Below are 15,479 nucleotides of genomic sequence, written 5' to 3' on the forward strand. Positions count from 1 at the left end.
GCTGTTATAAATAAAGATGCATGAACACTCGTGTGCCCTTTTCGGTGTGATCAGAAGTTTTTATTTCCTAGGGATAAATGCCCAAGAGTACAATTGCTGGGTCATGGTAATAGACTTAGTTTTTAAAGAAACTGCCAAAGCCTGGCCTACCATCCTTCCCTTCCCAGTGCACCCACAGGAGGTGTCATTTTACATTCCCAGAAGCAGGATATGAGTCTGTTCTGTAATGCACAGATACTACTGATATTATTTTGCTTGCGATCAAATTGTACCTGCTGTTTTATAATGGGCTTGTGTCCCTTGATATGATCTTATGAGCATTTCTCACACGTATTTTCCTACAGCTCCTTTAAAATTGCTGAATAAGGCAGCACGTGGGTAAACAGCCCCAGGGCCCAGTCCCACAGGGCTTACTTAAGCGCGTGTCCACTCCATGGCCGCACCCGTGCATCTGCTGCGGAACCTGGCGGGCACAATGCTAGGGGTGGGGCTGGAGTCACCGAGACTTGGTCCTGCTCCATGGGACTTAGAGCTGGTCCACAGATGAACACGTTGATCACAGACCAGGAGTGCTGTGGGCGAGACTACACAGAGTCCCGAGTATAAGCCGTGTTAGGTCAGGGAGAGTGCCCACCCATGTGATGTCTGGGCTGAGGTCTGGAGAAAATGCAAGCGTTCAATAGGCTGGGGCAGGGGAGGGCTGGCTGTGCGCGCTCTATCTTCGTCAAATCTATTTTATCTAATCATTTGCAAAAGCAAATAACACGAGCTCTCTGTCCCGGGACAGGCACACAGCTGTTGACTTTGTTCACTGTTTTGTGCCCCTCACAAGCATGAACTGGGCATGACTCAGGCATTTGCAGAAAGAATGTCAAATGTCACCCAGAATATCACTGTATACAAGAGGTCTTTGCACACAGCTCCAATATTTTGCTTAGAGGTCAATCTCTGGAAGTTAAATGGCTTGTTGCTGAATGCTGCATACATTTCCAAGGTCTAGATACTGTTCTAAACCTTAGTGACTGCTCATTTACACTCTGGACCCTAGACTTCGGCGAGCACCCTCTCTAGATGGCCACACCATGAGTGTCTCACCAGGGCTCAGGGGCTGCCTATCCCCTTCCCTCCTGAGCTGGGCCCCCAAATCCTAAGGCTGGGTGTATATGGCCAAGTGCAGATGGAGGCAGGCTCTGTTTTCAGGAGCAGGACCTGATCCAAGTTTATTACCAAATTAAATACTCCTCCCCCCTCCTCATCGTAGACCAAGGCACAGGATTTGTTTGGAGCTTGGGGTGGGGAGGGAGGTGAAATGATGGGAGGGTTTCCACATGGGGTGGAGAGGGCAGGGTGCTCCACTCTGCAGCTTACAGATAGAGGCAAAAATCAATAGGGCTTGACTTTGGTGTCCCCCTTCTGGACCTGCAGGTGGATTCCCACCAACTGATCAGCCTTGCCAGGGCTTTCTGGGAGCCTGTCTGGTGGGAAGGAGCTCCCACAGCAGTGGTGATGGAGAAGGTCCCAGCTCTACAGATCCTAGGCCCATGAGATGGATAGAGATGGTACAGAGAGAGGGAAAGGCCCAGAAGCCTCTGAAGGACAGCAGGGCACAGTCTGCCATCTCACCTGGCAGGGGCCCAGGTACCTGAGCACCGAGAGGCAGGTTTGCACTCGGCACCTGTCTCTAAGACTCTCCCAACACACTTACCTTTGTCTTTGCACACTGGCCCTGGGCAGTGTGGCAAGGTGGTTCTGCATGAACACAGGCTTATAGTATCGTGGTCATCAAAGATGGCCCTACCAATTCTCCCTCCCCAGCACAACTGCATACTGCCCCTCACACCGAGAGACAGAGTGTAAATCCCTGATCCTGGATTCCCCATTAATGGCTTTGACTAAAACAATGCAGCAGAAGTGACATCCTGAGATTTCCACACCCAGATCTTAAGAAAACTAGGCTTCCACTTCCTGCAGATGGGAACCTGGCTGCCATACTGTGAGGGAGTCCAAGCAGCCACATGGAGAGGCCCAGTCAGTGGAGGACCAGGCCTCCCACCAGCAGCCCAGCTGAGCTGCTGTAGGAGTGAGGCCATTTGGGACCTTCCAACCATCCCTGCACCCAGTGGCACTGTGGAAGCAGGAGAACCCCCAAGTCAATCTGTTCTGGAGTCGTTTGTTATTGAGCAATGAATAACTGTATCAGAAATTGATGTGGCAGTGTTCTTTTAAGAATAACTTAATTTAGGATTTCAGATTTTGCTCATTTATAAGGAGCATTCACCCAGTTTCCAGAAATGATTCAACTAGAGCCTGGAGACGTGGGTCACCTTCCTCTTGGTGAAGCCAGTGACACTTCTCAGATTGAGTCTGGGCCATTTTCAAAGCAATAGCATCTGGCAAAGGCCCAGTGGCCAGGGCGTCTCCTCCCTGGAGACCCGCCTGATTTCAGTAGCTCCTTCCTGACGCTGTTTTGGGGCCGGTGTGAGAGGCCCCCATGGCTGCCTTGGGAGGGTCCCCACAAGCTCAGGCGGGTTGAGGGGGGCGGCTTCCTGGCAATGAACTTGAACCTTCAGATCAGGGAGGGTCTCCCTTTTCCTCTGGAGCAGGCCCCACTGGAAACCTTACTGCAGTTGGGACTTCCCTGCTGGCCCTTGGCCCTGGAGAGGGGGTGTCCTCCCTGGTGGGTCCCATTGTGTTTGCAGTTTCCAGGCAGTTTCTGGCACACTGGCCTTGGACCCCCAGGCTGGGAGCCATGGCGTGCACACAAAACGACCTTCATCTCCTGCTTCTGCTTGGCAAGCTACCCGGGAGGTTTTATTTTCCACTGAAGTTGCTTCCCGATTATGGGCATCCCTGTCCATTCAAGACCCTTTTCAAAGCCTTGCTAATTGCCCCCCAGAGCCCCACCCGCATCCCAGCAGCAAGCCCAGGCCAGCTGTTCTTTTGATCTCGAAAGGCAAAAGAGGAAGCGGAGAAAGGCTGTTTGCAGGCCAACTGTGCGCACAGGTGTGAGGGAGCTGTCCAGCTTCCACTCCGTCATTTCCCCATGAGATTGGTCTTTCTGGCTTAATCCTCCTCCTGGGCCCTCCCCTGTGCCCCCCTCTCAGAGCTGGATGGTGGCCGCCCTGACAGTCCTCATCACACCCGGGGCTCTCAGATGGGAGCAGGAAGGGCTGGCGCCCCAGCCACCTCGGCCCCTCTTCCAGAGGGTACCACAAGAACCCAGATGGCCACGGCTGTCCCTGTCCAGGCAGCAGTCCGCGTACACAACGCACTCCCCTGAGTGTGATCCCCTCAAACTCCCACGACGCCCACCCGAGGTGAATGCTGCTGTTACTCCCGCTTTCCAGAGAAAACAAACTCAGGGAAGGCACAAAATACATTGCGACTCACAGCCGGCCGCTGGCAGGAGCCAAGGTGCTGCTGGGGCCACGGTGCCCACGGCCCGTGCCCGGGTGCTGACACTGTCCCCACCGCCTTCCTCCCGGCGGCCATGACCCCAATCCACAGCGGTCACCGGCAGGGGCAGTGGTGGACCAGGGCCTGGCTCAGCCTCACTGTGCCAGGGCCCCTCGCCGTACAGAAGGAACTGGGACATCCTCATAGGGTCGGCCGGAGTGTCACAGTGGACACAAGGCCCCAGGCAGTGTCCCCCTGGAAAGCACCTCCAAGGGCTGCTGTGACCCCCACACCACGTCCTGGAGGAGGGGCAGATCCCCCCACAGGAGGGACATGGTCTCTCTTCCTAATCCCCGGCATCAACTCTGATTCTTTTTACCGAGAGAGACCCGTTCCCACCCTCCTGGGGTTGGCCTCACTCAGAGAAGAGGGCAGAAGGAAAGTGAGTGTGTGGGACCCTGGAGGCCATGGTGAACATGCCCGTGAGTCCCCTCAGGCCAGGGTCCTCAGCCAGGGTCCTCGGGTTCTCGTTTGGACTTGTTTATGAGCCCCCAAGGCACACTTATTAGGAGTGAGAGCTTGGGCCCCCGGCACTCTCAGCCAGGCACCTGCCGTGAACTGGGCATCGCCAGGAGCCACCAGACAGGTTCCCAGGCTGTCAGGAAGGGCCTTGATCAGAGGTGCAGGGGCCGGGCACTTCATGCCTGCCCTCCTCCCTGCAGCCCAAGCTCTAGTCCCAGGTCAGAGGATTTCTTCCAGTGACCCTCCGGGGGCACAGGAGAGGTTGGGCAGGCTGGAGCTGGGTGAATGGTGCACAGAACCCTTTTGGGGAACAGCGGCCCCCAGGAAGGCCGGGCCCAGGCAGCGGTGGCTGGCAGATGGCCACTTCTAGCATTTGGATGTGAGGTGTTGGTAAATGAGCCCCTGGGAGACATTTTTTGGAAAAAAAAAAACCACACCTCCATATGTCAAGTTGCACAAGTTTTAGGTTGACCTCCCTCCGGGAAGGGGGTCTGCCCGAAGGTTCCTCAGACTTTGAGCACATTACCTTCCCCCCAGAGGCCAAAGTCCCTGCCAGGCAATGGGAGGGCTGTCACCACAGAGTCCTCTTAGGGAGGGCCAGGGCCACTGATGGGACCCTCCACTCACAGAGTGTCCACACCCACCCACCCACAAGGGCCCGCCAGGCGGGAGACTCGTCAAAGCTCCAGGCACACTAGGCTGCCCAGCCCATGGTGTCCCCATCACCTGCCGCCTCTGGCTGGGGTAGAGCCTTTTAGCTATGGCCAGACCTGCTCTGCAGATTCCAACAAGGCCTCATGTCCCAGCAACGGTGGCGTCCCTGCCAAAGGGGACGGGAGCTGAGCAAGGGTCTTCACTCCCTCGTGCCACCCCTCCGGCCTCTAGGAAAGTGCTGATAGCAAGGCCGAGGACAGCAAAGCCGAGACAGCAAGGCCGAGACAGCAAGGCCGAGACAGCAAGGCCGAGGACAGCGCTCCGGGAATGAAAGCGAAGCTCCAGTGGTTGCTCCAAGACGTGGGTCTGGTGGGAGCAGAGTGGGCTGTTTTTGGAGCTTCTCCCCTGCGATGTGAAGGCAGGAGCAAGGGCAGCTGTCCTGCTCAGCTGAGGCATGGGATGGCCACAGCATCCCTGCAGAGCCCACCAGGATGCACTCAGAACTGACTTGTCCTGCACACACCTACACCCCCTCACACACCCACATCCCCACACCTCTTGCCAAGGAAAAGCCAGGGGACGTCTCCCAGGTTCCGTTCTTGGAGTGGGTGGACTTCCCAACGTAGCAGGTCCTTGGGTGGAAGACAGGGCCTGTGACTTAGAGCAGAGGTGCAAGTCACAGTGGAGCTGGCCGCTCCCCTAATACAAAGAGGTAGAGGATGTGGGATAACACGTGTTTACTGCAGCTTCTCCCTCCTCCATTTCCTTCCTTTCCTCCCTCCTCCATTCCCTCCCTGTTCTCCCTCCTCCATTCCCTCCCTGTCCTCCCTCCTCCATTCCCTCCCTGTCCCCCCTCCTCCATTCCCTCCCTGTCCTCCCTCCTCCATTCTCTCCCTGTTCCCTGTCCCCCATTTCCTTCCTTTCCTCCCTCCTCCATTCCCTCCCTGTCCCCCCTCCTCCATTCCCTCCCTGTCCTATTTCTTAATAGACTTTGTTTTTTATCGCAATCATAGGTTCGCAGTGACACTGAGTGGAAGGCACAGAGGGTTCTCATACACCCCGACCCTCCATGCTCGGCCTCCCCCATTAACCTCTGCGGCCACGGTGGGCTGTGCTGTGGTGACGCACACGCCCTTACCACCCCGAGTCCGTAGTTTACACTGGGGTTCATTCTTGGTGTTGGACATTCTGTGGATTTCGACAAATGTACGACACGCACCCACCATTGTAGTGTCGCACAGACTTCACGGCCCTGGAACCCCCGCGCTGCACCTGCTCATTTCTTCCTCTCTCTTTTTACCATGGTTTACACAGATTCCAGATCCAGGGGCACGAACTGGAGTTATCATCCATGGTCACAGCACACTCTCACACTGGTCCATGCTCAGCTGTCGTTTTATTATTTTATTTTATTTTATTTATCCTTTTTTCCAAGACGGAGTCTTGCCCATTGCCTAGGAATGCAATGGGTGATCTCAGCTCACTACAGACTCTGCCTCCTGGGTTCAAGTGATTCTCCTGCCTCAGCCTCCCAAGTAGCTGGGATTACAGGTGTGTGGCACCATGCCTGGCTAATATTTTTGTATTTTCAGTAGAGACGGGGTTTCACCATGTTGGCCAGGCTGGTCTTGAACTCCTGACTTCGTGATCAGCCTGCCTTGGCCTCCCAAAGTGCTGAGATTACAGGTGTGAGCAACCGCACCTGGCCTATATTATTATTGTGATTATATCATGAACACTGGGCACCAATGACCAACCCAAAAGCTGAAATGTAGTCACTTCTGTTTGGGTCTGACCTTTCCCATCCCAGCCCCTCCTCCTCCATCAGAGGTAACCACAACTCCATCCCTGGTGCTGGAGTTTGATTTTCAGTCTTATGGTACAGGGGTGTTTGTGTGTGTGTGTGTGTGTGTGTGTGTATACTTAAATAGTTTGGCTTATTTATGAAAATCATAAAAAGGATGTCGCTCTTCAGCAGCTTTCTGAGATTGGCTTTTCCTGCTCAGTGTGATGCTGGTAAGATTTGTTCGTATTCTGTCTGCGCTGTAGTTCATTCAGTGTCGTGGTTGTAGAATTTTCCACTGTGTGATCCTATCATGAGTGATCCGTCCTTCTCTCCTCTCACTGTCGACGTGTGGGCTGCTCCGGGGCTTCCTCCTGCCAACTGAGCTCCTGGCACGCCTGCAGGGTCTCTCCTGGGTGGAGAGCTAAGAATAAAAGCTGGATCTTGGAAATGCAAAATCCTGACTTGACAAGGTGATGCCTGGCAGTTTCTGCAAAATGCTTGCATCGACTTCATCGACTTACACTTTGCCAGCTGTGTGCAAGGGTGCTGTTGATCCCCATCCTTGGAACATTTAGAATTATCAAAAAACTTTAAATTGTTGTCAATCAAATTCACGCAAAATCGTATGTTGTCCTGAGTTGTGTCCCTCAATTAACAGTGAGAATGGGCCCCTCTTATCACTCACTGGCCATGTGTTTTTCCTCTTCTGGGAAATGCCCGTTCATGACCTTTGTCCATTTTTCTATTGGGTCATTTGCTTTTTCTTATTGACTTGTAGGAGATATTTGTACATTCTCCACAGTGGTCTTTTCTTAATTTTTTTGTGTGGTGAATCTTGTCTTCTGGGTTGTAGCTTGTCTCTGTATCTTCTTTAAGGCGTAGTTTGATGAATAAAAGTCCTAATTTGAATGAAGTCAACTGTAACAATCTTTCCTTTCATATTGTTGATATTTCGTGTGTCTTGTATAAGAAATCCCTTCCTACTGTGAGGTCACATAGATACCCACCTATATTTTCTCCTATAAGTTTTAAATCTTTGCTTTTGACATTTCGATTCTTAATCTGTTTGGAGATACTTTCCGTATACGGTGTGGACACAGAATCTAATTTTTTTTTAATGTGGTTTTTCAGTCCTATTTATCAAACGACTTTCCCCAGGGACCCACACACCACTTCCCTATGTACAAGCCCATCTGTGGGTGGGTGTATTTCTGGGCTCTGTATTCTGCTTCATTAATCAATTTGTTTATCCTGGGCCAATACCACACATCACACTGTATTATAGCTGTATGATTAGCCTTTTCAACTGATGGGGCAACTCCACCTCCTTCTTTTTCTTCTTCAAATGTGTTCAGCTGTTCCTTTTGAAAATTGGGTCGTAACTTACTCGTAGTACAGTGCACAAGCCTCAAGGGTACATTTCAATTACTTTCTTTACAAATGTGCTCACTTACACCGATTACACGTGCTGCATAAACAACCTCTCCAAAACCGAGCAGCATGACGTAGCCTTTCTGTTGTGCTCAGGACTCTGTGGACCTGGAGGCCAGCCAGGCAGGCAAGGACAGCTCGCCTCTGCACAGTGATTTCTGCGAAGAGTTGAAGGCTGGGCGTGACCTGAAGCCTGGGGGTGCATGAAGTTGGAGCATCTTTTCTCACATGTCTGTTGGCTGCTGCTGGCTGGGATCTCTGGGGAGCTGTGGCTGGAACTCCTACACATGGCCTCTCCTTGTGTTGCTTCCTCATGGATTGGATTGGGCTTCCTCACAACATGGCGGCTGGATTCCTTGATGGAGTGTCCCAAGAGAGCTAGGAGGAGGCACATGACATATTTGTGATCCAGACTTGGAAGTCACACAGAGTTACTTCCATGATACTCTTGGTCGAGGAGATCACAAAGGTCTCTTCAGGTTCAAGGGGAAGGGATATAGACCTTGACTCTCAATAGGAGGCTTCTCAAGGTCACATTGGAAAGAGCTTGTGGGATGGGAGACATCTATGCAGTCATCTTTGGAAAACACAGCCTGCCATTTCTGTATAACAGGTGCCCAGATCAAGATGTAAACTATTTCCAGGGACCCAGTGGGCCCTTGGGGGCCCCCTCCAGTCCATACCAGCCCCTCAAGGTAGTTACTACCCTGATGTCTGTTGGCATAGACTAGTTCTGCCTAATCTTGAATATAGGCAGAATAGACAAATGGAGTCACGTGGTGTGTTGTGTACTCTTTCTTGAGTGGTTTCTTGCATGTCATAGTGTGCCTATTGTCGAGTGCAGCAGCATCTTGTTCTTGTTCACTGCTGTGGACTGTTGTACGGTGTGAACAGATCACGGATTGCGCACTCAATCTTGACAGGCCACTGGCCATTTCCAGTGTTTGATTATTATGAGGAATGATGCCACAAGCATTCTCGTATGACTTTTTTGGTGTGTAACCACACACTGCTGTTGGGTGCACACCCAGGCGTGGAGCTGCTGGGTCACTGGATGCCCAGCAGACACTAGCAAGGGATGTTTTGAAGTGGTGGGACCATTTTCACACTCACCGATAGTGTAAGGGGGCCTTTCCTCTGCAGCTGTTGGTGGGTAGTGTGATCTCACGGTGGCTTGAGTTGGCATGTCCCCAATGACTGATGTTGTCAAGTGCTTCTCACCTGTTTCTTGGCCTTTGCATAAACTTTTTGGGGAGGTGTTTTTGCAAGCCTTTCACTCGTTTATTTAAAATTGGGTGGTCAGTTTTCTTCTTATTGGTCTGTGGGAATTTGTCCATCTGGATGCAAGTCTTTTGTTGGATATTACCTGGAATCAGCCAAACTCAAGTTCAGGGACACAGTTCTCCAAAGACTTTCCTCATTTCAGATGCCAGTTGCAAATTTGGGGGTTCCCAGGGTCACCTTCACTTCTTACCAGTGGGCTGCAGATGTGGAGTCCCCATGGACTCCCTCCTGTTCGATAATTCACTGGAACAACTTACAGAGCTTAGGAGAGCCCTGTGCCTGTGAGGACAGCAGACACTCATTGTAGTAGAAGGATACAAGTCAGGGTAGCCAAAGGCAGCGGTGCAGAGGATGAGGTCTGGGGAGCTGAGCAACCAGCTTCTGCTGTCCCCAGGGCACGCTACCCTCCCGACACATGGATATGGGACAATATTCTTTGAGTGTTGTCATTTGGGGATTTCACTAAGGTTTTGGTGTCCAGTTTTTTATCGGGGTTTTATTGCATAGGCGTCCCCATAGCTAAACTCAGGCTCCGGACCCCTACGCACACCAGAGACCAGGCTGATGTCAACTGGTGCAAAGTCCCAACCCTCTAATCACGTTCTGGGTCCTCCTCGGGAGGCCAGCCCCCACCCAGAATCACCTCATCGGCATAAACTACCTAGGGGCCCTCCATGAGTCACCTCATTAGAAGAAATTATCAAAGGTGGCCGGAAGGGCCCCTGGTCCCTCTCAGCCTCCCTGTTGCCCCCAGGAGCTCCAGCGGCCTCTCCCCAAACCCTGCCCTGTGGTCAGAGATCACCGTCAGTCATGTCGTCAGCCCCAGCTAGTGGGGGCACCCACCCTGGTCTCCAGGGGTCACACCAGTGGCTGCGCTTCCTGAGCCAACCACGTGTGTCATTGACCTGCATGTTACGAGGTTGGGAGGGGTTGGGGGAACAGGCTGATGTGTGGAACCAGCCGGACTCATGTCAAAAGCCCTTTCCCCTCCCCACGCCTGGCACCTGCATCACTGTCTCCTCCAGGCATGCCAGGGAGGGGCCGTCCCCATTGCCCACATGCAGATATCGTGCAAGGCAGGCATCCCTCTCCACCCTGGCCATCCCTCGACAGCCATGGGCATTGGCAAGGCAGCCGCTGTGGCTTTACTCTGCCGGGGCCCTGGGCAGCCTTGTGCAGTTCGACGCCGGCCCTCCTTCTACCGCCTGGGGGTTTGGGCTCCCAGACCTCCTCTGCTGTAAACACCAGACCTCAGATCATGACTTGTGGAAGCAGAGGGCCCAGATGCCTCATGAAGGCCTGGGAGGGGGCTGGCACCCTGGACTGGGCTCGGGGCCTGAGCAGGGCATGGGCAGGCTCTGCATTCGGCCCTGCCTCCCTTTTCCCAGGCGACTGACCACTCCTGAGGACCATGGGGCTGTATCCTGGCTGAGGGGACTGCAGGCTCCAGGGCCAGGATGCAGGAGCCTGGTGCCACCTCCACACCAATGCCCTTGCACGCCGACCCTGGCATTGCCCGCTGCCGGTGGTCAGGTGTGGAGGAGGCACGGGAGGGGCCGAGTACGGCCAGGCTCCTCCCTGGGTGCTGTGGCTGCCCCACACTGGGGGCCTGACCCTGTCGGGGAAAGATTCCTGTCTGGCATTGGCTGTGCTGAGACATCAGAGGCCAGAGCTGGAGATTTTGGCAGTGGGGAATCTTAAGGAAACAGGCACTTCTCTTTGGAAAAAGCACAAGGATTGCCCACTGCCAGAGACAGAGTGGCAGTTTTTGGTCAATCACCAACACTGGTAGATGAGCTGTGGATACGAGGGGCTGTGCCCAGAGAGGTCTGAGGCCACGGCCCAGGGGGCCAGGCCGGGCTTCAGGAGGCTCTGTCTCTGGGTAGAAGCACGCATGGACACACACACACACAGTGATACACACATTCACACCGACACACATGATCACATACCCACACACATCATTCACCCACACCCATGCACACATACCCTCGCACACCGCCTCCTACACCCACATGTGCACCCTCGCACACCGTGCCATACACGCAGGTGCACACCCTCGCACACCGCCCCCGTACACGCAGGCGCACACCCTCGCACACCGCCCCATACACACACGTGTGCACCCTTGCACATCATCCCATACACGCACACGCGCACCCTCGCACACCGCCTCATGCACACGTGCACCCTCCCACACCGCCTCATGCATACGTGCACCCTCACACACCGCCCTATACACGCACGCACGCACCCTCCCACACCGCCTCATGCACACGCACACCCTCCCACACTGCCTCATACATGCATGCGTGCAGCCTCGCAGTGTCTCATACACACAAGTGCACTCTCCCACACCGCCTCATACACACAAGTGCACCCTCGCACACCGCCCCATACATGCACATGCACACTCTCACACACCGCCTCATAAGCACATGTGTGCACCCTCGCACACCGCCTCATACATGCACGCGTGCACCCTCCGACACCGCCTCATACACGCACGCGTGCATTTACAGACACACTTGTGCGTTCTCACAGCGTGGCACGCAGTCACGCTGACACACCCCCATGGGCCGATCACACACACTTCACTGACAGTTGTGCACACACACTCTCACGCGGCAGTACTGTGCACTCCCACACCCCCAGGCAAGGGGCCTTCCAAACCCGCTCCAGCCCCTAGGGACGAGGCCAGCAGCCCCAGGGAAGCAAACTCAGGGGCTCTTTGCCTTTCTCTTCCCCGAGCCCCTCTGCTCTTCTCTCCAGCCTCAGAACCAGGCACAGGGGCAGATGCGGTGCTCCCAGCTGGAGGGCAGCCAGGCAGTGTGGACGCGGAGCCTGTCTTATCACCAGCTTCAGCTGAGGCCTGCTGCTTGTCCAGTGTCCTCAGAGCCCGGCAGGGAGAGAGCGGGAAGGTCTCACGTCCCACAGCTGGGCTTGGGAGGCAGAATCCCTCTGTGTCCTGAGCTTTAGGTTCCCCCGAGATGACACGGAGCTTGGGCTGCCCAGGGCTGGATGCTGTTCCTCCCGCTCAGGGCCCCAGCCTTTCCCCAGGAGCTCGACTACGCCACTGTGATGGCAGCTGGGGGCACTGGACGGCTGAGCAGCTCCAATTAGCTGAGTCCTCCCTACGGTCAGCCCCCAAGGAAGCTCGCTGGCCCGGCCACCTCAGGAGCTGCACTTGTCACCTGCAGATGGAGGCTCAGGGAAGAAGTTGCCCCTGGGCCTGCAGTGCCCGTGCACACCGGCATGACCTCTTTCCTCACACTTGACTCTCGGGGCCTGAGGTCGCACCACCGAGGGTCTGTTTGTTATGATTTCAAAAGTTCTCTCCAACAATTCCACCTCGCTGGGGGGAGCTGTTATTTAAACTCTTGAGATGTATTTACTTTTGGCCCAAGGTCAGGTGATGATGGTTTTCCACGGAAGCGAGCGCCAGGCCCATCTGTTTAGACAAGTGTGTATGGCGGGTGGGGCCGTGGGGCTGGTCCGGGACGTTCAGTCCAAACCGCCAGGGAGCGGACGGCCCAGGAAAATATCCGTAAACCCCGAGAGATGCTTATTGTTCTCTCACATAAAAAAATTTGGAGGCAGGGATGCCCAGCCTGGTGTGCCATTTAGTGACATTGGGGGCGGGCTTCTGGTACTTTGCTGTGCTCCCAACCTAGATCATGACTAAGATGTCACCCTAAGGCCTGAAATGGCTCTGGGACTCCAGCCACTGGAAACGACACTGGCTGCTCCGACACCCCCAGCCCCCCTCCATCTCCCCGCTTCCTCCTACGCTAGCTCTCACGCTGTTATTATTTATTTATTTATTTATTTTTGAGATGGAGTCTCACTCTGTTGTCCAGGAGTGCAGTGGCACAATCTTGGTTCACTGCAACCTCCGCCTCCCAGGTTCAAGTGATTCTCCTGCCTCAACCTCCCGAGCAGCTGGGATTACAGGTGGGCGCCACCACGCTCGGCTATTTTTTTGTGTTTTTAGTAGAGATGGGATTTCACCATGTTGGCCAGGCTGGTCTCAAACTCCTGGCCTCATGCAATCCTCCTGCCTCAGTAGTAGTAGTTGGGATTACAGGTGTGAGCTGCCATGCCCAGCTGCAGGTGCGGAAGCTGGGGGCCTCAGAGACTGTGGACTCCTGGCCGGTGAGGAGCGGCATGGGCCGGGAGAGCTGACTCTTCAGCGGGACTGAGGTGGCTGGAGCGTGACCCTTTCCTGAGGGCAAACAGGGAGGGCCTTGGAGCCCGGCGCTCAGGACAGGCCCCTGCTGGCCCGGCAGCCTGAGCTTCCACACTTTTCCAGGGCGTCTCGAGTTCGCCCACAGAGCTGTTGTTTCAGGATAAAAAATGCCCTTGTATTCCACGTTCCAGTTCAGAGGCCCGTCTGTTCCCAAGAGCGGAGGCGTCAGCCGCATGAGTCCCACCGGAAGCCGGGTTGCCGGGTCCCCGTCCCTGCCCTGCAGACGACGCATTCCGGAGCCCCCTTGGGAAGCTGCCTGGCTCTCCCAGGCCTGGCTGCCTTCGCACGAGGGCTCCGAGGCATGCTCATCCTACGTGACTGCCCGAGTGTGCACACGCCTGGCCGTGTGTGGGCGTGTGCCTGGGGCCCGAGCTCAGGAGCAAGGCCTGCGTGGACCTGTTGTCTGAAACAAGCCAGTAGACAGCTGCGTCAATGCAGGCAAGCTGAACAGGGCTGCTTTTTCAGCCTGACAACCCCAGGGGCTGAACAGGAGCTGGGGGAGGAGCAAGGGGCCGTTCCCCTGCCCCACAGCACAGCACACGACCCCGCCTTGGAACCTGGGGCCCGGGGTGAATCGAGGGTCCTGGAGCAAGAGGGGCTGCTCCACAGGAGAGCCTGTCCCGCCACCCCTCAGCCACCAGATTCGGGGCTGCTGGACTTGTTCTCAAACCTGCACAGTGAGTGACAGCTGCTGAGACGGAGGTCTCAGGCAGTGCAGGTGAATCAGCATGGACCATGGCGAGCCCGCCTTCATCCTTCTCCTGGGAGGACTCGTTCCTTAGAAGCGAACGGGGGCCTCCTCACCAGGGAAATAAAAACCAAGCAAGGGGAAAGCACGGAATGTGTGGAGCTTCCTGGGAGCCTTCTTCTGAGGCTGAAAGTGGCTCCCTGCCTGAGTTGGTCCATGCGGGAATCACAGGGAGATGGTGGCTGGGCCTGTCAGGACCTTTCAGCCCACCTGGTGGACGGGGGTCCATGAGGGTGGTGGGGGTGCAGGCGGGGTACACCTGGTGATGCAGACACAGGCCCCTTCAGTCAGCTGTTGTCACGCTAGTGCTGTGTAACACACACTCCTGATGGAAACACTGAAATAACCGCCTATGGTTCCTGCTCACCAGCTACAGCTGCTGCACGTGCCCTGCTCAGCTCCCAGCTCAGCTCCGGGCTGCAGGTGGGCTGCAGCTCCGATCCTCGTCCTCATCTCCGTTGGCCCATGGGCTGGCGAGGACACACGGCCACAGTGACACAGAGCACCAGGGGCCGACCTGGCTGCACCCACACACCCCAGCACTGCTTGTACCAAGTCCACCGACACCCACAGGCCCGAGCAAGTCACATAGCAAAGCGCAAGGCCCAGGGCTCCGGAAGCCTCCCTGAGGCTACAGCACACCCCACCTGCCCCTGAGGCTGAGGGGCAAGGCCAAGGAGAGGGGCTGCCTCTGAGTGGGCCCTCCATGCTGGCCAATGAGTCAGAAAGGAGGACCGTACACCTTGCCAGTGGGAAGATGCCGCGCTCTGCCTTTGCGCTGCTCTGTACCTCAGCGTCCCTCCAGCTAACTCAGGAGACACATCCTGGCTTTCCCTCCACCTATTTGGAAAGGGAGCTCGCTGGGCCAGCCAGGAAAACGCAGTGGGATTTGATTCTGCGCAGCCCCGTCCTGGGGGTGCCCCAGGAAGAAGTGCTGTGCCAGCACTGACCGACCAGTTCTAGACTCAGCCTGGCTTCTGCGTCCACTCAAGGGAGATGGGTTTGTGTCGGCAGAGAGGGCCTCTCCCTAGGTTACCTTACCTTGCTCTGTTTTGGGGGATCCCTCACCTGGCTCTGTTTTGGGGGATCCCTCACCTGGCTCTGTTTTGGATGCAGAGCCCTTGATGAGGTGGGTTGTTTGAGGGGTGGACCTGGGGATTTGACCCAAACTTCCTAATCCGCCAGAGCCCTCGTTGACTCAGCAGCCTCCACCCCCAGGCTTCTCTGTGCAGGCAGAGCCCGGCCCGGCCTGGAGAGCTCAGGACAGCGCGGCTTCGGGCCGGCCCTGCAGGAGTGCCGGGTGGGTGTTTTGTGTGTCCCCATCTCTGCCTGTATCAACCCTAAAACATACATCATGTGTACTTGATCCCCGTTCTCCTCATTTCCTGCAACACTATTGTGTGGACGCC

General features: G+C 55.4%; 1 annotated feature.

Annotated features, from left to right (window-relative positions):
- Window positions 2,829–3,123: a silencer, noted in NCBI's record as "tiled region #9314; HepG2 Repressive non-DNase unmatched - State 10:DNaseD, and K562 Repressive non-DNase unmatched - State 21:Repr". NCBI's record gives its function as "represses a minimal TATA promoter and a strong SV40 promoter by Sharpr-MPRA in HepG2 and K562 cells {active_cell/tissue: HepG2 | K562}" and the evidence as "EXISTENCE:reporter gene assay evidence [ECO:0000049][PMID:27701403]".

The sequence above is a fragment of the Homo sapiens genome, chromosome 21 (genome assembly GCF_000001405.40).
Source record: "Homo sapiens chromosome 21, GRCh38.p14 Primary Assembly".
NCBI lineage: Eukaryota > Metazoa > Chordata > Mammalia > Primates > Hominidae > Homo > Homo sapiens.